This window comes from Homo sapiens, chromosome 12 (assembly GCF_000001405.40).
Source record: "Homo sapiens chromosome 12, GRCh38.p14 Primary Assembly".
Taxonomy (NCBI): Eukaryota; Metazoa; Chordata; class Mammalia; order Primates; family Hominidae; genus Homo; species Homo sapiens.
In genome coordinates, this window is record NC_000012.12 from 52,834,925 (window position 1) to 52,857,440 (window position 22,516).

Genomic DNA, 22,516 nt, shown 5'->3' on the forward strand with positions numbered 1-22,516 from the left:
AATTCAAGGACAGAAAGAGGATCCCTGCCCAATCGTGGGGCCCAGGCCCTTGATCAGGAGGTAGAAAAGGCCTGGGGTCCTCAGGCAGGGCCCAGAAGCCTGGGAGCAAAGGACATTCTTATGGAGGCTGAAGAGAGGGCAGGGGATTTAACCAATACCTGAGATCCCTGAGCCTCTACCCCACAGCAGAGTCCCCACAGAAAGGTTCAGCCACTTTGGAGGGAGCTGGAGGTGGGTCAAGGACACAGACCACCCTGGGTGGAGACAGGCACAGCTCCAAAAAGCAGGTGTTCCAAAAAAGCCCCAGGAGGCCCACGCAGCAGCCCCGTCACTCCCATCTTCCCCTGCCCCACATGCAGGAGCCCATGTTTCTGATTCAGAGGGGCCAGGGGAGCTCCTTAAATCACCTCATATGGTCCCCGCCGCCCACTTCCTATTCACCTCAGTCTGCTGGGACCAAACACAGCCCCAAGCAAAGACAGAGACGTCAACTGTCAGGGCCGAGGGGTGACTGAGGAGGTGACTTTAGACACTGGCCCTCCCCACCCCCTTCTCTCAGCAAGAAGATGGGCTCAAAGTGAACAGAGACTTGCCTGAAAAAAAGGAGCGAGGACAGCATCGCTGTGCTCCCCACCCCCATCAGATGAGCAGGACAACCAGCCAGGCTGTGTCCCCAGGATCCCAACAGAGAGGACATGGGACTGCCACGGAGAAGGCTTGGCCTCCCTCCCATGTTCCCCACAGCCCAGCAAGTGAAGAGACAGCCTGCTCCAGGACCAGAGGGAGCTGTGGGATCTTCTCCTAGGGCCCCTGGGAGGCTGTAAGTGGCTCCCCGTTGCTTGAAGAGGTTGAACCCAGCTCCCACAAGGAATGGGAGTGAGAGCACTTGCAGAACTAGTCCCTTAATAGCCAAGAGGAGATTTTGGAGTTAGGACACTGGGCATTTCAGGGAGCCAAGCCGAGACGTCTCCCACACTGAGCTGTGTGTCCTGGGGCAACTCGCAACTTCTCTGAGCCCCATTTTCTCTGCCTATAAGCAGGGCCCTCCGTGGAAGACCTTTCGAAAAGTGATCCCTGGATGAAGCCGCCCCTTCCCACTGACCTTCGTCTCCTTTCCCCAGGCTGAGATCACTTTCTCAGCCTCCCTTATCTCTCCCTGGGTGGCGTGGGAGGAGGAAACAGTCATGAGTGGGCCCTAGCCTCCAGGATGTGGCTGTGGGCCCCCTGGGCAAGGAAGTGTTGTCAGCCCTCTGAGTCACAGGGCAGCCAGGCTGGTGGGAGTGAGAGGCAGTCGATAAACACAAGTCTCACCTCACCCCAGACACGACACTCACGCCAGTCCCTTGCACACATTTACCAAGCACGCTCTCTGGGCCACGCTTTGTGCTGGGAGCTGGTGACAGGCACACAGGGACCAGGGCACACTCTCATGGAGCTCCCGGCTTGCTGCTTGGAGACAGCCTCCCTCCCACCCAGGTTCACAGCCCAGGCCCAGACAGAAGCCTGGGAGGGCACTTTGCCTCCACCAGCCCCTACTCTCCACTCTACCTTCAGACAGGACATGCACGCTCAGACCTTCTTTCTGCAGCCCAGGGAGGAGCAGTTTCCTCCCCTCCTGCCCTCCACAGAGAGGAAGAGCTGCTGCACACTGCTATACTGATTACTGAGGGGCTCCATCTCTGGAGACTGTCACCTGCCCAGAGTCCCTCCCTGATGGCAGGACACAAAAGCAGAGGGGACTGAAGGTTGCTGCCACCAAAGGGAGGGGGCAAGAGAGTGGATACTGCCAACCTAGCACCTACCATGGGTCAGGCCGGGTGCCGAGCAATAGGAAAGTTACAGGGACAAAGGAGCCCCAAGAGGGTAGGGCTTTCTGAGCTAATTATCATCATTATTACAGTCAACACTTACTGAGCACGTACTATGCAGCAGAGTGGCCTGGATGCCTTCCCTGCAATGGCATGTTGAGTCTCCGCACTGGGTGATGCTCCATCTGCCTCCCTCCCGCTCCATTCTCCACCTTCCTCTGACCCTTGTGGGCTGCTCCCTGGCACTCTGGCTTCCAGTTGAGTTGACCAAAGGGAGACACCAGCAGGAGATCAGAGGGAGGAGACAGGTCAGATGTTTCTTCCCAGCTCCCTCCCTGCTTCCAACCACTTCAGACCACTGTCTGGGGACATGGCTACATCTCCCCATGATTACAGCTTCTGCCACCTCACTGCTTCTCTTGATCTTCAGCTCTACATAAGGCGACCAGCCCATCCTGATTTTCTCAGGACTGCCCAGCTTTAGCACTGCAAGTCCTCTCAGTCTTGGACACACTGAGAGGGTGGACCTCACTCTAGGTGTGGTAACGGCTTCTCGCCATTGCTGGTCCCTGGCCTCTCCATCCCTGTTCCCTCAGCCCTAACCACACCTCTGCAAGTAATCCTTTCCTTAAAGTCAATTTAGCCCTCTCAGGTCCTCACTTCCAAGAAGACAAAGAAAAGAAGGAACAACAATCACGCCCACGACCACGTGCAGCCTATTCACTACACAAACCCCACCTGACACGTGCCCGAGGGCAAGGCCATTAAGGAGGTCTTAGTCTGAAAAACGTGGTAGAGTCCACCGCCATCAGGAACATTTCCAAAGCGAGTGTCTTGGATGTCTGGGTGCTTCCCAGGCTGTATGTGAAACTGCATTACCATGTGAGGTGAGTCACTCATAGCAGGCCAGGCAGGAAGCAGCCTTGTGAAGCCCAGAAGGACCCAACACCCATATCCCTAGTCAGAACAGCTGGTGCTGCCCACAATCTCCGCCAAAGCCCATGTAAGGGGCCGAATCCCTCAGCACTAAAGAAAAGACTATCCTCTGGGGAAAAAAGAAAACGGAAATTATACTTTTTCAAAAAGTCAATTTAATTGAACTACCTTGGATGAATTTAGTTTCCTTCTGGGATCCTAGTGGCACTGTCGCCACACAGCCCTGTGAGGTACATATTATTATTAATCTCTTTTTACAGATGAGGTAACTGAAGAGGTCAAGCTGCTTGATCAAGGTCACACCACTAGGAAACAGCAGAGCTGGGATTCAAGCCACATCCTCACCGGCTCTGGTCTCCTTCACACAAAGCTGAAAAGCCTTCTTGCATAATTTGGATGGAGCGATTCATGAATCTGAGGAAAGGTCTGCCCTCCCTCTAAAGCAAGGAGAGGCGTAGTGTGACCTCCTGCAGCCCAGACTATGGAGTTTGGGGTTGAGCCAGGTCCCCCACCTGGGTCTGGAAAGCGAGAATGGGGAAAGAGCAACTGCAGGCACCCATGAGGCTGCTGGGGGTGTGTAGAAAAGGTGATCCTTCCAGCCCCTCCTGGCACCCCACCTGATTCCCACACTCCTGGCTTCCTGCAGAGCTTCCTGAAGGAGAGGAAGGAGGAGAAGTTTCCAGCCTCATGTTCACACTTGCCCAAGGATAAGATGAGAGCCAACAGATAAGGGGGTAGGGGCAGAGTTTGAACCCCAATCTCCATCAGAGCCCCCAGGCACAAGCTGAGCACATCCTCATCCTGGATGCAGGAGTGCCAGGCTAATAGAGAAGCTGAGTCCCTTACCAGAGCCAGACAGACATAGCACCCAGGACAGCAACAGGTGCAGCCAGACTGCCAGGGACAGGAAGGGCCCAGTAGTTTAGACATGGGAATTAGAGAAGGTTCCTAAAAGGAGAAAATTTTGGTGCACAGTCAGGAAGAAGGAGGAACAAGAAGGAAGGGGGCTGCCCCAGTCAGGACTAGAACCTCTTAAAACAGGCAGTTGATGAGGAAGTGAGCTACAAGCACAGCTAAAACATCAGTGGAGTTGTGGGAGATGGAGGGCACCCCAAGGAACACACTGGAGAGCTTGAAGGATCCCTTGATAGAGTGGCTGGGATGTGGAGTGAGATACCAATAGAACACGTCTGGACACAGATATGCCACAATTGCCTTCCGAGGAGAGGAAGCTGGGGAGCCACACAGCTTTTGTTTTGCTGGGTGAGGTGTGCAAGCACTTAGAGCATTCAGAACAGCAGGAGGGGAGACTTTATTGATTTTTGCAGCATCCGCTGTGGGCTGGCTTGGGCTGTGGGCAGCGGACACGGAGTTGGCCTTGCAGAGCCGGCTGATGGGGGGAGTGGGCCAAATGTGTTCAGGAAGGAGGTGGCTGCTGGGTCGCTCAGTAGGTGATGGATGTCTTCAGACTCGACTCAACTGTCTTCTTCAGGATGGTGTGGCAGCTGGAGCCAGCGCTGGAGCCAGACACAGAGCAGGAATCCAAAACAGGGTCCTTCCCAGAGCCCAGAATGATGTTGGAGCCTCCAGTCACAATGCTGGTGCAGCAGGACCCAGGGCTGCCTTTCCCACTACCGAGTCCACAAGTGCTCCCCAAGCCTCCACCAACTCCTCCAGACATGACAGCGCTGCCTCCCACCGAGGCTGCCAAGAAACGCACCGGGTCAGAGCAGGGTCATCAGCTCCCCATGGGGATCCCATCCCTAAAGTCCCCTGATACTCACAGATAGTGACCTGGCTGGTGCACTCCCCAGACATCCTAGGGGGAAAAGGACAAGAGGGGGATGCGCTAAGGAATACTACAAAGAATGCATCCCCACGAGCTTTTAAGCCCCTCAAAGCAGGTCACCCACCCTCTCAGCAGATAAAATCCACAGTCTCCAACTTAAAATCCCTCTCTGCAGCGTCGGTTGCCCTTAGCAACTCACAATGTCAGGAAATCTCTCAGAATCCTCTTTAGCAAGCAGCTCACTGTGTTGGCATCCCATCCTCCTCCCCAAACTCATATTCCCAGGTCCCTCCAAGCCTCCCTCACCTGCACTCCTCGCCCTCCAGCAGCCTGCGGTAAGTGGCAATCTCCACATCCAGGGAAAGCTTCGTGCTCGTCAGCTCCTGGTACTCGCACAGCAGCCGGGCCAGGTTCTGCTTGGCCATCCTCAGAGCAGCCTCCAGCTCGTCCACCTTGGCCTGAGCGTCCTTGAGGGCCAGCTCCCCACGCTGCTCAGCATCAGTGATGGCGGCCTGCAGGCTGGCGTTCTGGAAGCGGGGTAGAAATGAGCGAGAAGGTGGTTGTAAGTCCAACATAGCCTCTCAAAGCACCCACTGTGGATATCACTTGAAGGCTGGGGCGGATCATAATCTTATGAGCTCAAAATTATCCATGGCCGTCTGTACCAACACCACCCCTGCAACAGGCTCCTCTCATTCTAAGGGAAGGTATTGCTTCCCTCACTTCCTTACCTCCTGCAGTAGGTTGAAGAGTATCCCCCAAAACTTTCATGTCCACCCAGAACCCCAGAATGTGATCTTATTGGAAGTAGGGTCTTTACAGATATAATTAATTAAGGATCTCATGATCATATCGTACCATATTTAGGGTGAGCCCTAAATCCAATGACTGGTGTCCTTATGAATAGAAGAGAGAACACAGAGACAGACACAGAGAGAAGAGCTCATCAGAAGAGAGAGGCAGGGCTGGGCATGGTGGCTCACGCCTGTAATCCTAGCACTTTAGGAGGCTGAGGCAGGTGAATTACAAGGTGAGGAGTTCGAGACAATCCTGGCTAACACGGTAAAACCCCATCTCTACTAAAAATAAAAATAAAAAAATTAGCTGACCATAGTGGCACGCACCTGTAGTCCCAGCTACTCGGGAGGCTGAGGCAGGAGAATTGCTTGAACCCGGGAGGTGGAGGTTGCAGTGAGCCAAGATCATGCCACTGCACTCCAGCCTGGCAACAGAGCAAGACTCCATCTCAAAAAATAGAAAGAAGAAGAGAGAGGCAGAGATGGGAATGATGCAGCAATAAGACGAAAAATGCCAAGGAGCTCCTGAAGCCTGCAGAAGCTAGCAAGACCCAGGGAGGACTCTCGCTGCACCTTCAGAGGGAGCACGGCCCCGCCAACACCTTGACTTCAGACTTCAAGGCTCCAGGACTGGGAGAGATTACATTTCTGTTGTTTTAAGCCACCCGATTTGTGGTGATTTGTCATGACAGGCCTAGGACACTAGTACAACTCCTGTGCCACCTCCCCAAGTGCTCTTTCCCTATTTCTTCCCACCCCCAGCCCTCGGCACCTCTCCCAGGGTGCTTAAAGCTCTTCCTGTACCATGGATCACTATCTGCAAGGCTCCCCCTGAGGGTCACAATGGTTCTCATTTTTTTCAGACAGTCCCATTTCAAATACTTTGTCCTGTTGTCAGAGTACATCAAAACATATGCCTCAATTTGGGACTTGAAAAATATAATCTCTACCGGGCGCGGTGGCTCACGCCTGTAATTCCAGCACTTTGGGAGGCTGAGGTGGGCAGATCACTAGGTCAGGAGATAGAGACCATCCTGGCTAATACGGCGAAACCCTGTCTCTACTAAAAATAAAAAAAAAAAATTAGCCGGGCATGGTGGCACACACCTGTAGTCCCAGCTACTCAGGAGGCTGAGGTAGGAGAATCGCTTGAACCCGGGAGGCGGAGGTTGCAGTGAGCCGAGATCGCGCCACTGCATTCCAGCCTGGGTGACAGAGTGAGACTCCTTCTCAAAAAAAAAAAAAAAGAAAATATAATCCTTTTACTTACAATAGAAAGCTAGAGGAAGGATGAGATCCCTGTCTTTATCAGCCTTACAGTTGATTTGCCCTCACATCTGACTCAGGAAAGAAGGAATTGTCTAAAGGCTGTTATTATCGATTCCCACTCTGTGGATAGAAACATAATCTCTACTCTATAGATGAAGAAACTGAGGCTCAGAAAGAAGAGTGGCAGAACTGGGATCCTAACCCACGTGGGCCTGCACAGGGGAGCCCAGTTCATCATGTTTGTGCAGGAAAAGGAGCAGGGGACAGTGCTATATCTCCAGGAGGGATTCTCCTGGGAAAGGCACATTGCTGTGTGAGGAGCTGTGATTCCCAGACCCAGGTACCCAGTACACATACACACTCCTGCGTGCTGCCACTGGACTCTCAAGACCACATGCTTCAGAACCAGCTGGGCAACCTCATTTAAAAAGCAGGTTTCTGGGCCCCATCCTTAGAGATTCTGACTCCTCAGCTCTGCCAGGAGGCCAGGAATCTGGATCTTAATAGCCACCCCAGAGGACTCCAAAGCAAGGGGTCCAAATTTGTTGGTGAAACATAGTGGCAGCAAATTGAGTAAGAGGATTCATCACATTCATCTCAAGCCCTGCTTCTCATTGCAAACAAGAACCAGGAGGATGGTTCTGGATACTCCAAGAACCCTCCCCAGAGGGCTCTGCTTGGGAGTCAAGGGACCACATGTGACTTTTGAATCAAGCTGTAGTGCTTGAGGAAATGGCCTGACTCTGTGGTCTCTGCTCTCCATCCTCCATTGACACCCAAATTGATATTTTGGGTTTAGGAAATATGAGTGCAAGAATACTTAACAATTTGAGAATTCATAACACTTCACATCTAGAAGTGAGGTCTCTACACCGCAGGAGGAGCAGGAAACGGCCTCCCTCCCCTTGCCAATCTCTTCCTCTATTTCTGACCCTTGTAATGCATCTACCTAAGGAGAAGTTAGCCCCACCCTGCCGCCCACCTCACCTACTCTCTGAGGCCCTGGCTCCCAACTTCCCCCACAGGGCACCAGGACCTTCAGTGTTTGACCTTAAAGTCCCTGCTGGGCTTGAGAAGTAAGAGTCAAAAGAAGAGATAAGAAAAGAGATGTGGGCTGAGCATGGTGGCTCACACCTGTAATCCCAGCACTTTGGGAGGCTGAAGCTGGTGGATCACCTGATGTCAGGAGTTCGAGACCAGCTTGGCCAACATGGTGAAACCCTGTCTCTACTAAAAATACAAAAATTAGCCGGGTGTGGTGGCAGGCACCTGTAATCTCAGCTACTCGGGAGGCTGAGGCAGAATTGCTGGAACCTGGGAGGTGGAGGTTGCATTAAGCCGAGATCACGCCATTGCACTCCAGTCCGGGCTGACAACAGTGAAACTCCATGAAAGAAAGAAAGGAAAGAAAGAAAGAGAGAGAGAGAGAGAGAGAGAGGAAGGAAGGAAGGAAGGAAGGAAGGAAGGAAGGAAGGAAGGAAGGAAGGAGGGAGGGAGGGAGGGAGGGAGGGAGGGAGGGAGGGAAGGGAGGAAGGAAGAAAGAAAGAAAGAAAAGAGATGAAGCTGGGTGCAGTGGCTCACGACTGTAATCCCACCACTTTGGGAGGCCGAGGCGGGCAGATCACTTGAGGTCAGGAGTTTGAGACCAGCCTGGCCAACATGGTGAAATCCCATCTCTATTAAAAATGCAAAAATTAGCCAAGCATGGTGGTGAGTGCCTGTAATTCCAGCTACTCAGTAGGCTGAGGCAGGAGAATCCCTTGAACCCGGAGGCAGAGGTTGTAGTGAGCCAAGATCACGCCACTGTACTCCAGCCTGGGCAGTGGAGTAAGACTCTGTCTCAAAAAAAAGAGAGAGAGAGAGAAAGAAAAAGAAAAGAAATGAGGCTGGGTGCAGTGGCTCACACCTGTAATCCTACCACTTTGGGAGGCCAAGGCGGGCAGATCACTTGAGGTCAGGAGTTTGAGACCAGCCTGGCCAACATGGTGAAACCCCGTCCCTACTGAAAATGCAAAAATTAGCCAAGCATGGTGGCACATGCCTGTAATTCCAGCTACTCAAGAGGCTGAGGCAGGAGAATCCCTTGAACCCGGAGGCAGAGGTTGCAGTAAGCCAAGATCACGCCACTGAACTCCAACCTGGGCAGTGGAGTAAGACTCTGTCTCAAAAAAAAAAAAAAAAAGAAAAAGAAAAAGAAAAGAAAAGGAAAAGATAAGAAAAGAGAAAACAGATGAATTAACCATCTCCCCAAGGGGCTGAAAGCAAGATGTACACCTGGACATAGGCTACAATGCTGTCAGCCCCCTCCCCGATGCCAGGGGAGTGCGATCCAGTGGCACTATCCCACGAAAGCCAACATGTGGCTAGAAGTCACAGCAGGAAGGCTGAATTCACCCTAGATGGGGCTTGAAGTTCTCTTCTCCCCAAATTATCCAAAGCTCCAGCCAGTTATCAAGGTCCTCGACACAAAACCACTGGCAACCCAACTGGAGAGAGAAGCTAGGAACTGGGAAGTGAGTTGAAGGCACAAAGGCAATGAGAGGACATTTGGGGGTCTCTGGGAATCTACCTGCTTCTTGAGGTTCTCAGTCTGACTCTGCAGCCTCTGAATCTCTTGGTGTAGCTGAGAGATCTGGACTTTCGTTTCCTGCATCCTGTCCCCATGAAGCTGGGCAGACACCTGAAGTTCCTGGTACTGAGAGGGGAACAGAGGGGACACCATTAGTTGAGAGGACTGCCACCTTTGACCATCTCCTCATGTTTGAAAAGCCACCTCTCACTCCTTATTTGGAGTGTGGGTTAAACGCCTGAGCCAGGACACAGTGGGATATACTTCCAGAAGTCCAAGCTTATCTCCCACGGTTCCTCTGCATCGCCTCCCTCCTGGAGGGGAAATGGCCCTGCCCACCCAGCCCCAGACCTTCAGGGAGGTAACTGGAACTGCCCCAATGGGATCGAGGTGGATGACCACCCTAGAGTTTGGGCATGGAGACCTAGCCATTTCCAGCATGGTGCTGCCCCCCAGGTCCCACCACCTTGGTCTGGTACAAGGCCTCAGCCTCAGCCTTGCTGCTCCGGGCGATCTCCTCGTACCGGGCGCGGACCTCAGTGATGATGCTGCTGAAGTCCAGGTAGCGGTTGTTGTCCATGGACAGCACCACAGACGTGTCGCTGGCCTGGGTCTGGAGCTGGCCCAGCTCCTGCAGGGAAGACAGACTCAGTGTCCACTCACCCCCAGCTCCTTCTCCCCTTGAAGCCTAGGATGGTTGAGCAGGATGATGAATTTCTGCTTACATGCCATGACCCCCATTCATCCCAGGTGGCTTTGAGTATGCCCTGCTCACCATGGGACTCGATCTCCTCATTCAAAAATGAGAGCCATAGGAGGTGGTCTCTGAAGTCTCTTGCAGCTTGGACATTAATGGAAAATGGCCTGCAAGGCCCAAAATCACCCAGCCCCCATCACTCCTCAGGCCTCTTTTTTTTTTCTTCTTCTTCTTTTTTTTTTTTAAGATGGAGTCTTACTCTGTTGCCCAGGCTGGAGTGCAGTGGTGTGATCTCGGCTCACTGTAACCTCTGCCTTCCAGGTTCAAGCCATTCTTCTCCCTCAGCCTCCCTAGTAGCTGGGATTACAAGCACCTGCCACCAAGCCTGGCTAATTTTTGTGTTTTTGTAGCGACAGCGTTTCACTAGGCTGGTCTCGAACTCCTGACCTCAGGTGATCCACCTGCCTCAGCCTCCCAAAGTGCTGGGATTATAGGCATGAGCCACCGTGCCCAGCCATCTTCAGACCTCTTATCATACTCCTCTCCCTCTCGCTCCTACTACTCTGGCCACACCGACCTTCCTGCATTTCCTCAGACAGCACACTCCCGCTGTGGGCTGCAGCCACTGCCTGGAATCCCAGAAACCCACCTGCGTGGTGACCTTCCTCACCTCCTCCAAATCTTTGCTCAGATTTTATCTCCTAAATAAGGCCTACCCTGGCCACATGATTTGAAGTTGGCACCTGCTCCATGTTCCCAATCCTCCTTTCTCTGTTCTCATTTTCCTTTTTTCCATTGCGTTTATCACCTTCTTCCATACTATATGATTTCCTTATTTACTAAGTCTGTTGCTTATTGTCTGTCTCCCAATAGAAAGCAAACTTAGTCGGGCGTGGTGGCTCATGCCTGTAATCCCAGCACTTTGGGAGGCCGAGGCGGGTGGATCATGAGGTCAGGAGTTCAAGACCAGCCTAGCTAAGATGGTGAAACCCCATCTCTACTAAAAATACAAAAATTAGCTGACCGCAGTGGCGGGTGCCTGTAATCCCACCTACTTGGGAAGCTGAGGCAGAGAATTGCTTGAAGCCGGGAGGCAGAGGTTGCAGTGAGCTGAGATTGCACCACTGCACTCCAGCCTGGGCAACTGAGCAAGATTCCATCTCAAAAAAAAAAAAAAGCAATTTTTTTATCTGTAGTGATTTTTTTCTGGTTATTCATTGATGTATCCCCAGGACCTAGCAATTCACATAGTAAGTTTTCAGTAATTGGTTGTCAAGTGACTGAATGACCCAGAATCTAAGCCACCCTAACAGACTTCCCCTCTTGGCCATTCTCCTCATGGCCACAGGAAGCCTGCCCACCCAGTCCTCTCTCTTGGCTGCAGCCTGCCCTTTGGTTGAGCCTCACTTCTTCATTCAGATGCTTCAAGAAGTAGAGGTACTCTCTCAGAGCCTCCAGCTTGCCCTCCAACTCCATCTTGCTCAGGAAAACCCCATCCACATCCTGGAGACAAGGGGAGAGAGAACACGTAACCCCCTCTTCCTCTTTGGGGTCCCTACTCTGGCTCAGGAATTCTGTTCATGCACTGCTCAACACCCATCCACCATGCCTCCCAAGACCCCCTCCTTCCTCCTCCAGCCCCACTCTGTCCTGCTCTCTCCTTTGCCCAACATTGACCCAACATCACCTTCAGGAAGTCTTCCCTGATTAATCACAACCAGTTCTGCTTCTTCCTCTCCCTCCCCGCCCTCTCCTGCAGTGACATCAAGAGCTCGTCAAGCAGTCCTTTAGTCAGATCTTGCCTTGGGGCCCCTGTGTCTAGGCAGATGTCCCATTTTCCCAGGGGACCCCTGCAGGTAGAGTGATAGCCTGTCCTAAATCAGGACCTCCCACCTTTTCCCTCCCAGCCTAGGACTAGGCTCCGTGCACAGTGGATGCTCAGAACGTAAGTGGAGCACTGGCCCCCACCCTCACCTTCTTGAGGACCACAAAGTCGTTCTCAAGTGTGGCACGCCTGTGGGCCTCCTCCTCATACCTGCCAAATAAGTAGAGAAGGATGCAGTTTGAGGCTCCACGGTCAGAGCTCATGCCCCCATGTCCGAGCATGACCTCCCTGAAAAGGACTCCTTGCCTTAGAATGCCCCCAAACAAGACAATAACCAGCCCTTCTCTCCTTTCCTGCCACGTCCTAGCTATGTACCTGTGCCACCCTTTCAGCCCATGTCCTTTTGATGACGACAGCCACATTGTTTCAGTTTATAAGGCACATTCGAATACCTTTTCCCACTTGCTACTCACACCCATCACTTGAGGTAGGCAGTTTGGGTTTTATCAGAGAGATTAGATGATTTGACCAAGACCCCACAGATGACTAGGTAGACAAAGCAGAGCCAGCCCAGGTCTTCTGACCCCAATCCAGGGCTCCTTCCAGAACCTTCCTTCCTCCACCTCACATCCCATTATCCCAATAGCCCTGGGAGGCCAGAAGGGCAGGTGACATTTCCCAAGTTTACAGAAGGGAAACCAAGTCCGGGAGAGATGAGATGCCTTGCCCAGGATGCACAGCTACCCCTCACTCACAGTTGCCCCAACCCAAGCCCCCTATTAGTCCAGGGCTCTCTCCACTCCACCAGGTGACCTAGGCGTGGAGCCCAGAACCACAGCCCATCTGTGAATTGTGTCACAGGCCTGGGGACAGCCCCACTAAATTGATTCCCTTCCCTCTTTGGAACCAGAGAACATCTGAATCACTTTAGCCCACAGCCCGCTGAACAGGAATTTCTCAAGAATAAAAAAAGCCACTGGGGCATTGTTTAAATAAGCCCTTCCCAGCCTTGACCGGAAACATGGGCCCTTGTAGCTGGGGCATGTAGGACACCGGTCTCCCTGCCTTTCCTCCAAGGTTCTCCAGATCTGCTTGGGGACTGCGGGACACCTCGTTTACCTGTAGCAGGTGGGCACCTGAGAGCCTGGGGAATGGGGACGCGGAGGGGTAGAGGGGAGGCCAGTCATGTGCCTCTGGGTGCTCAGTATGTGGGACACCTCCTGGCTGACAGACCCAAACTGAGTCATCCCAGACCCCGCCCACATGGCATGGGGAAATTTCAGTGTGCCTACTTGGACTTATACTCCTCCTCCTGGTCCCGGCAGGCCTTCAACTCAGCATCCAGAGCCCCTCGTTCTCCCTGGAGCTGCTCCAGCTGCTTCCTGAGCTGATCCAGGCAGGCCTCAAAGACAGGCTCCAGGCCCTGCTGGCTGCCACTCAACCCCTGTTGCTGCAGCAGATGCCACTTCGTCTCCAGGACCTTGTTCTGCTGCTCCAGGAACCGCACCTGCAGCAAAAGCAGAGGATCCCTGAGGCTCCTGTGGGACTCCCTGTGCACAGCCTCTGGAAAGTAAAGCCTGAGGGACCCTCCCATCAGCCTCACCTTTCCCCTGTCCCCCTGCCCAACCTGGGCAGGGGAAGCCTCATGACCTTCCATGACACTCTGAACACAACAAAATGACTGGACTGACTAATGGGGCAGGGCCTTCCCCCCGCTGGCTGGCAGTTCTCTGTCCCTGAGCCCCAATCATGGAACAACAGGGCCTCAGCATAGCCAGAGAGAGTCCAGTTAGTCCACAGGAGGGACTTCTTTGCTGCAGAAGTTATTAGAAAAGTGGTAGAAGGAGGCCAAACTTCCCATTTCCAAGTCCATCAAGAGCAGCTCCTCCAAGGGAGGCACAGAGACAGGGGCTTGGCTGAGTTGACCCTCACCTTGTCAATGAAGGAAGCAAACTGGTTGTTGAGGGTTCTGATCTCCTGGGTCTCCTGCGTCCGCACCACCTGGAACTGGGGATCGATCTCAATCTTCAGTGGGGTCAGCAGATTCTGGTTGATGGTCACTTCTTGGATGCCCCCCGGAGGGCACAGGGAGAGCCCAGGCCCACCACTCCACTCCCCAAACCGCACCCCCAGCCTACCCCCTGACCCCCAGGTACTCCCACGAGAGCCTTCCAGGCACCCCCCAAAGGAATTAAGGCTCCTGCTGCTGAAGCCGCCCCTGCTGCTGAAGCCTCCCCTGCTGCGGCCCCTTGAGCGAGCAGAACAGGCTGAGCGAGCGCTGAAGCCCCTCTGGGCCCGGCATGGGGAGAGAGACATGGCAGAGACAGACAGTCACGCAGCTGCAGACGGACAGACAGATTGTCAAGGTGTGTGAGTTTCTGCCCTGGGGCCCCAGCACGAGACTTTTATCCACTCCCGTACCTGGGCTGGGCCTTGGAGAGCAAGATACTCTTGACCTGACTGTGTCTGTCACTTGGCTCCAGCTGACTTACTCTGACGTGCCTGGAGAATAAGTGTCCGGCACGTGCAGAGCCAAGGGAGAAGGAAACCCAGACCCTGCCCTCAGAGCTCCCAGGCTGTTGGAGAAATAGGCATGCCCAAAGACAAGGAAGCAGGCAGGAGACTGGGATGTCAGTGCTGAGGGACAGGGAGGGATGGCCGGAGCAAAGTCACTGAGGCCCTCAGGGAAGGCTTCCTGAAGGAGACAGGGAAGCGAGAGGAGGTTGAAGAGGAAAGAACGCTAGAAGGGGTTCAGAGGAAGCATCAGAGTGCCCTGGATTCTCAAGGGAGAATCTGCCTCAAGGAGTTGGAGAAGGAAGGCACTTGCAGCGCCACAAAGAGAGGAGGTTAGTGGAGGTGTTATTGCCATAGTTGGCTAAAAGACACTCCAGGATTTGGAAATGAAACAGAAAAACAGGGTTTCCAAGTCCTTCCTCTTGCCCAACCCAGCAATCATCCATGAGGCACCACCCACTGAAATCAGGCATCTCCATCCAGGATCGCATGGGACAGCACGTTTCTGACCCAGCCTGTGGCTCTGCTCCTTCCACAAGCACTTGGGGCCAGGCCCATCCACCTGCCATCAGGCTCCGCTTCCTGAGGTTACAAATCAGAGCCACCCAGGCTCTGAAATGAAATGTGCATTTAGGGCCGGGCACAGTGGCTCACGCCTGTAATCCCAGCACTTTGGAAGACCGAGGTGGGTGGGTCACTGGAGGTCAGGAGTTTGAGACCAGCCTGACCAACATGGTGAAACCCCATCTCTACTAAAAATACAAAAATTGGCCAGGTGTGATGGTGCACACCTGTAATCCCAGCTACATATGAGGCTGAGGCAGGAGAATTGCTTGAACCCAGGAGGCAGAGGTTGAGCAGTGAGCCAAGATCGTACCACTGCACTCCAGCCTGGGCAACAGAGTGAGACTCCATCTCAAAAAAAAAAGCAAGGTGCATTTAGAAAATACTCCTAAGCTGGGAACGGTGGCTCACGCTTGTAATCCCAGCACTTTGGGAGGCCTAGGCGGGTGGATCACGAAGTCAGGAGATCGAGACCATCCTGGCTAACACGGTAAAACCCCGTCTCTTAAAAATACAAAAAATTAGCCAGGCGTGGTGGCAGGCACCTGTAATCCCAGCTAATCGGGAGGATGAGGCAGGAAAATCGCTTGATCCCAGAAGGTGGAGGCTGCAGTGAGCTGAGATCATGCCACTGCACTCCAGCCTGGGTGATAGAGCGAGACTCTGTCTCAAAAAAAAAAAGAAAAGAAAAGAAAAATACTCCTGATGGACTGGGAGCAGAAACAGGACATTTGGGGTTCCCCACAGGACAGCCTCTGCCTCTGGCCTGAAAGTCTGGTGGGTGAAGGAGCACTCTAGGGTATCTGATACTTCAGTACAACCTCTCCCGAGTGGCAGGACTCCTGGAAGGAAGGCATCCAGTAGACTCCACTTAAGCCCCTCCACCACTGGCCGGCAGAGTTGGACCACTCTGATTTGGGGAAGTATCTAAAATTTCTTATTTACGTGGCAAGGGGGCTATTTCTCCCTGTCCCCCTCCCCTCTTCTAGAGCCTGGCGCATTTGCAAGCAAGGACACCGGGGCTTTGACAATGCAACTCAAAGCTAGGACAAACGAGGGCTCAGAATACTGAACACTCAAGAGATGTGCTATGAGGAAGTCACTCTTAGCAATTTGAACAATCCCACAGATACTCCACCCCAAAGCCAGATAGCAGTGAGTGCACCTCACCTCCCTCCAGAGGATTAAAAGCCCCTTCCTCCTTCCCCTGGCCCCAACCGGCAGCACGCCTGAATGAAACTGAATGGCAGGTGACCTCAAGAGGAAGAAGAGACAGGGCCTTCAGTGGGGAGAACAAAGGAGTTCAAGGAGCAAGGGACCAGGTAAGGAAGAGAAGAGGAGAGAAAAGACCCAGGAGGAGAATTAGGTGCAACAAGGAGAGAGGAGGCAATGTGGAGCAGCCCCAGAGTCCAGAAGAGGGCTGGGAAATGCATTGAATTCTGCTGATTCCTCAGGGGAATCCAAGCCCTACCCCCTGGGGACCACTGTGCAGGGGCAAGGTTCTGTGCCTGCCTTCCAGACCTCACAAATGTGCTTGAGAAAGATCTCCGTGAACTGAACTCTACCATCCCTCCCTCTCAGGATTAAGGGTGGAGGACAGAGGCCACATTTGGGATGCGGCCCAATCCATCTCCATGGAACTTCCCCATATTTGTAATTTTATAGATAATAGAGCCAGAAGGGCGCTTCAAGGTCATCTGAGCCAATGCCTTTTTTTACACTTGAGGACCCTGAGGCCCCATAGGTGTGGAGCAGGGCATAGAGAATATACTCTTGGGCAACCTAAGAGGTTGCCAGGTGACCTCTAAGTCTGCTCTGGCCCATTCCTCTGTGATCTTAGGGACTTGCTCCAGGCCAACCACAGAGCTCTTCAGGCTGGAGGCACCACCTGTATGCAACTCAGACCACTGCCCCATGGAGCAGCCCACAGTGAACCTCCTCCCTGTTCCACATGCCCGCCCTTCAAACTTTCTAAGACAGCACCACTAAACACTGAATCACAGCTCCATGATGTATGTCCTGTCCACCCCTCTATCCAGCTCAGCGTCTGGCATACACTAGGCATCAATAACTATTTGTTTAAAGAGATGAATTTTTATCCATGACCATTATACACAGGGACCTTGCAAAATCCCCAGATCTGCAATTGCTGCTGCAACAGATACTGCTGCTACTTAGAAATAATTCCCCTACTTAGAAAGATGGTCATGCAGTGATGGAGAGAATGACAAAACAGTGTGGAGATTGAACCATGCCCCTCAGCAGCTGAGTGACTTGGTTTTGCACACAAAGGTGTGCAGAGATCCCAATTCATGCAGCAGCAAAAGTATAATTGGCTCACATCATGGACTTAATATTAAATCCTGCAGTGTCAAGGCTCTAATGGGCATACCTTTCCTCAGTTTCCCCTGCTCCAGGTTAACCCTTCTCAACCACACCTCATGCTCTGCAGCCTCTCCCAGCCTTGGCCCTTGTCAATGGGAAAACCCCTGCCAGCACAGCTTTTTTTTTTTTTTTTTGACAGGTTCTTGCTCTGTCGCCCAAGCTAGAGTGCAGTGGCACAATCTTTACTCACTGCAGCCTCAACTTTCCAGGCTCAAACCATCCTCCCACCTCAGCCTCCTGAATAGCTGGGACTACAGCTACACACCACCGCACCTGGTTAATTTTTGCATTTTTGGTAGAGATGGGGTTTCGTCATGTTGCCCATGTTGAACTCCTGGGTTCAAGCGAACTGCCCACCTCAGCCTCCCAAAGTGCTGAGTTTACAGGCGTGAGCCACCGTGCCCAGCATCTCAGCACAGCTTCTTGTGGCTTTCCTATGGCCCCTTCTCTCGTTGTACCACCCTAAGTTCACCATTGGCCACAGTTACAACTCTCCAACCTTTCTCTCTAATTGCTGTCAAGCCAGTTCTTGCTTGTGCAGTCGATCTTTTCACCCAAAAGTCATTTATTCACATTTATTCATTTATTCAACAACATATGGTTGAGCACCTACCATATTTCAGGCCCTGTGCTGAGAGTTAGAAATTTACCTGAGACCAGGCCGGGCACGGTGGCTCATGCCTGTGATCCCAGCACTTTTGGAGACCAAGGCGGGCAGATCACCTGAGGTCAGGAGTTGGAGGCTATCCTGGCCAACATGGTGAAACGCTGTCTCTACTAAAAATACAAAAATTAGCCAGGCATGGTGGCAGGTGCCTGTAGTCCCAGCTACTCAGGAGGCTGAGGCAGGAGAATTGCTTGAACCCAGGAGGCAGCAGTTGCAGTGAGCCAAGATCACGCCACTGCATTCCAGCCTGGGCAACACAGGGAGATTTGTCTCAAAAAAAAAAACAAAAAAAAAACAGAAATTTACCTGAGACCAAGCCCCAGCCCCTGAACTAAGAGACCTTAGAGTCTATTGGGGAAACAGATACGAAACAAGTCTTTAATTGTAATTACAATAGGAAAAGAAAAGTATAAGGCACAAAAGAAGGCTAACCTAGTTTATCCCCTAATTTATTCTCCAACACTCCAGAACACTCCAGCCTCAGGGCTTTGGCACTCACTGTGTCCTCTTCCTGGAATGCTCCTCCCCAGACACCCTCCTAGCTTGCTCCCCATCTCCTTCTGGCCTTCATCCACCTTCTCTGGCTGCCCCAAACCAAAACTGCAACCCTGAGACCAACCCTCCTTTGCCACTCTTCTCCCCTTCCCTGCTTTCTTTCTACTTGGCATCTATCGCCTCCTCATACACCGTGTATTCTACTCACTCATTCTGTTTGGCAGCTTTCCTGCACTAGAATGTGAGCTACATGAGGGCAGAGATTTTGTTGCTTTTGCTCACCTCTGTCTTCTCTGCACTTAAGAATGGTGCCTGGCAGCCAGTAGGTGCTCAGTACATATTAGTTGAATGAATGAATCCCCATTCAGTTTCATCTTGGTGATTTCCTGCCAATCTCTGGAGATCCTTCTGATTCTCAATTATCTTCTCTGAAATAATAGGCATCCCCTGCAACCTGCCCACCCAAGCTGGGAGCATCCCATTCATTTGGGAAATGTGGTTTCATTACTCTATGTGCATATGAGTGTGTGTTATTGGGCATCTACTATTGGCTGAACACTCAGCTAAGAGATACAGGAGATACACAATGCATAAGCCACCTCCCCAACCTGAAGGAGTATCCAGTCTCATGGAAGATACACACATGAGCACAGAAACCAAGAGGAGGAAGGAGCTGAGAGGGTCTGTCCTGATTGCAAGTTGGCATGTTGGTGTGGTGGGGGAGTTCCTATTGCTCCAGTGGCCTGGTCTTGAAGAAAAGCAAGGACAGGGCCCTGTGGCGTGCTCTTCTTAAAAACTCTCCCTCTGTTTGGGAATCTACCCAGCTGTACTTTTCCCCAGATCCCATTTTTCCCATCTTGCCTTCAAGAACATCAGAAAATTTGTCAAATGTCTCATTGAATCCCAGAGAGCCTCTGTCTGACCTACAATAACTATCAAGATAACATTGTCACTGGGCACCATGGCTCACAACTGTAATCCCAGCACTTTGGGAGGCCAAGCCAGGTGGATCGCTTGAGCTCAGGAGTTCAAGACCAGCCTGGGCAACATGGAAAAACCCTGTCTCTACAAAAAATACAAAAATTAGCCAGGCATGGTGGCACACGCCTGTAGTTCCAGCTACTAAGGAGACAGAGGTGGAAGGATGGCTTAAGCCCAGGAAGCGGTGCTTGCAGTGAGCCACGATCACCCCACTCCACTCCAGTCTGGGCCACAGAGCTAGATCCTGTCAAAAAAACAAACAAAAAAAAAAAAGATAACAGTACTGAATGGGCAAAAACTGGAAGCATTCCCTTTGAAAACCAGCACAAGACAAGGATGCCCTCTCTCACCACTCATATTCAACATAGTATTGGAAGTTCTGGCCAGGGCAATCAGGCAAGAGAAAGAAATAAAGGGTATTCAATTAGGAAAAGAGGAAGTCAAATTGTCTGTTTGCAGATGACATGATTGTATATTTAGAAAACCCCATCATCTCAGCCCAAAGTCTCATTAAGCTGATAAGCAACTTCAGCAAAGTCTCAGGATACAAAATCAATGTGCAAAAATCACAGGCATTTCTATACACCAAGAACAGACAAACAGCCAAATCATGAGTAAACTCTCATTCACAATTGCTAGAAAGAGAATAAAATACCTAGGAATCCAACTTACAAGGGATGTGAAGGACCTCTTCAAGGAGATCTACAAACCACTGCTCAAGGAAATAAGAGAGGACACAAACAAATGGAAAAACATTCCATGCTCATGGATAGGAAGAATCAATATCATGAAAATGGCCACACTGCCCAAAGTAATTTACAGATTCAGTGCTATCCCCATCAGGCTACCACTGACTTTCTTCACAGAATTGGAAAAAAAAACTACTTTAAATTTCAAATGGAACCAAAAAAGACCCTGCATAGCCAAGACAATCCTAAGCAAAAAGAACAAAGCTGGAGACATCACACTACCTGACTTCAAACTACACTACAAGGCTACAGTAACCAAAACAGCATGGTACTGGTACCAACACAGATATATAGACCAATGGAACAGAACAGAGGCCTCAAAAATAACACCACACATCTAAAACCATCTGATTTTTGACAAACCTGACAAAAACAAGCAATGGGGAAAGCATTCCCTATTTAATAAATGGTGCTGGGAAAACTGGCTAGCCATATATGGAAAGCTGAAACTGGATCCCTTCCTTACACCTTACACAAAATTAACTCAAGATGGATTAAAGACTTAAATGTAAGACCTAAAACCATAAAAACCCTAGAATAAAACCTAGGCAATACCATTCAAGACACAGGCATGGGCAAAGACTTCATGACTGAAACACCAAAAGCAATGGCAACAAAAGCCAAAATAGATAAATGGGATCTAATTAAACTAAAGAGCTTCTGCACAGCAAAAAAAAACTATCATCAGAGTGAACAGGCAACCTACAGAATGGGAGAAAATTTTTGCAATCTATCCATCTGACAAAGGGCTAATATCCAGAATCTACAAAGAACTTAAACAAATTTACAAGAAAAAAACAATCCCATCAAAAAGTGAGCAAATGATATGAACAGACACTTCTCAAAAGAAGACATTTATGAAGCCAACAGACACATGAAAAAATGCTCATCGTCACTGGTCATCAGAGAAATGCAAATCAAAACCACAATGAGATACCATCTCATGCCAGTTAGAATGGCAATCATTAAAAAGTCAGGAAACAGCAGATGCTGGAGAGGATGTGGAGAAATTGGAACACTTTTACACTGTTGGTGGGAATGTAAACTAGTTCAACCTTGTGGAAGACAGTGTGGCAATTCCTCAAGGATCTAGAACTAGAAATACGATTTGACCCAACAATCCCATTACTGGGTATATTACTGGGTATATACCCAAAGGATTACAAATCGTGCTACTATAAAGACACATGCACACATATGTGTATTGTGGCACTATTCACAATAGCAAAGACTTGGAACCAACCCAAATGTCCATCAATAATAGACTGGATAAAGAAAATGTGGCACATATACACCATGGAATACTATGCAGCCATAAAAAAGGATGAGTTCATATCCTTTGCAGGGACATGGATGAAGCTGGAAACCATCATTCTCAGCAAAATATCACAAAGACAGAAAACCAAACACCACATGTTCTCACTCATAAGTGGGAGTTGAACAATGAGAACACATGGACACAGGGAGGGGAACATCACATACCAGGGCCTGTTGCGGGGTGGGGGCTGGGGGAGAGGTAGCTTTAGGAGAAATAACCTGATGTAAATGATGAGGTGATGATGCATCAAACCATCATGGCACATGTATACCTATGTAACATACCTGCACATTGTACACATGTACCCTAGAACATAAAGTATAATAATAAAAAATTTTTAAAAGATAACATTGTCAGTGAGCTATTTTATCCAAAGATCAAACAATAAACGGGTCCTTTATGACAGGCCCGGTTCTCAGAACTTACATATCATAAGCATTTAGTGTTTACATTTACATTCCAACTTTAAAACATTTAATGCTAACAACCCTATGAAGTAGGTACTTTATCATCACCATCTTACAGAAGGGGAAACTTACAGAAAGGGGCACGAAGAGAACAATAATGGTAAATGGCAGAGCCAGGATTTGGACACATGCTGCAGGCTTCAGAGTCTTTGCGCTTTACCATCACACTGTGCTCCTCTCAGAGACCCAGGAATGTCAGTGTTAAAGGATACCTTAGCTAACTGAAGCCCAGAGAGGTGGAGCAATGTACCTAAGGTCACACAGCAGATCCCAAACTGAAACTCATCCCTCAACAATCATTCACTCAACATTTAGTAAGCACCACCAAGTGCCAGGCACCATGGGAGCCCAGGTTCAATGAAGATTAATCAAAGTCTCCGCATTGGAGGAACTTGCAGTCTGGTGAGGGAGAGGAAGGGCTGGGGAACTGGGGAATCTACATGAAAACCAGTAAGGGCAATAGAGTGTTGGAGGCACCAATTCAGAGACTGTGGAAGGCAGCAGTTTTTCTTGAAGGAGAAGCAGCAGGCATTCCTATTCTTGGCATGCTCCAAGAAAAAACAAAAGTCATCTCCTGGGGTCTAGAGCCTCCAGGCACAAAGGGAGCAGAGTGTAGGCTGGGAGGTGAGGATGGAGCTCCACCTGGGTGAAGGGGAGGCTGGCCCACCCACACGCGTTCAGGTCCC

General features: G+C 50.9%; 1 protein-coding gene across 3 annotated transcripts, besides 1 other annotated feature; it reads right to left on the reverse strand.

The window, feature by feature from the left end:
* Window positions 1,859–3,058: an enhancer, noted in NCBI's record as "BRD4-independent group 4 enhancer chr12:53230567-53231766 (GRCh37/hg19 assembly coordinates)". NCBI's record gives its function as "activates an origin of replication core promoter dependent on BRD2, P300/CBP, MED14 and CDK7 cofactors, and independent of BRD4, by STARR-seq in HCT116 cells {active_cell/tissue: HCT116}" and the evidence as "EXISTENCE:reporter gene assay evidence [ECO:0000049][PMID:35650434]".
* KRT78 (keratin 78) lies at window positions 2,880–14,070 on the reverse strand. 3 transcript variants are annotated; one of them, NM_001300814.1, is made up of 9 exons: window positions 13,294–13,359; window positions 12,983–13,197; window positions 11,840–11,900; window positions 11,273–11,368; window positions 9,635–9,799; window positions 9,169–9,294; window positions 4,840–5,060; window positions 4,529–4,563; window positions 2,880–4,448 (listed from the first exon to the last, which is right to left on the reverse strand). In NM_001300814.1, the coding sequence occupies exons 1-9, from the start codon at window positions 13,345–13,347 to the stop codon at window positions 4,189–4,191; spliced, it is 1,233 nt and encodes a 410-aa protein (NP_001287743.1). In that variant the 5' UTR covers window positions 13,348–13,359; the 3' UTR covers window positions 2,880–4,188. The 3 variants fall into 3 exon arrangements, with proteins under 3 accessions (NP_001287743.1, NP_775487.2, XP_011536312.1); NM_173352.4 differs by lacking the exon at window positions 13,294–13,359 and adding an exon at window positions 13,623–14,070 and having other exon boundaries at window positions 2,883–4,448; XM_011538010.2 differs by lacking the exons at window positions 11,273–11,368; window positions 13,294–13,359 and adding an exon at window positions 13,623–14,070 and having other exon boundaries at window positions 2,883–4,448.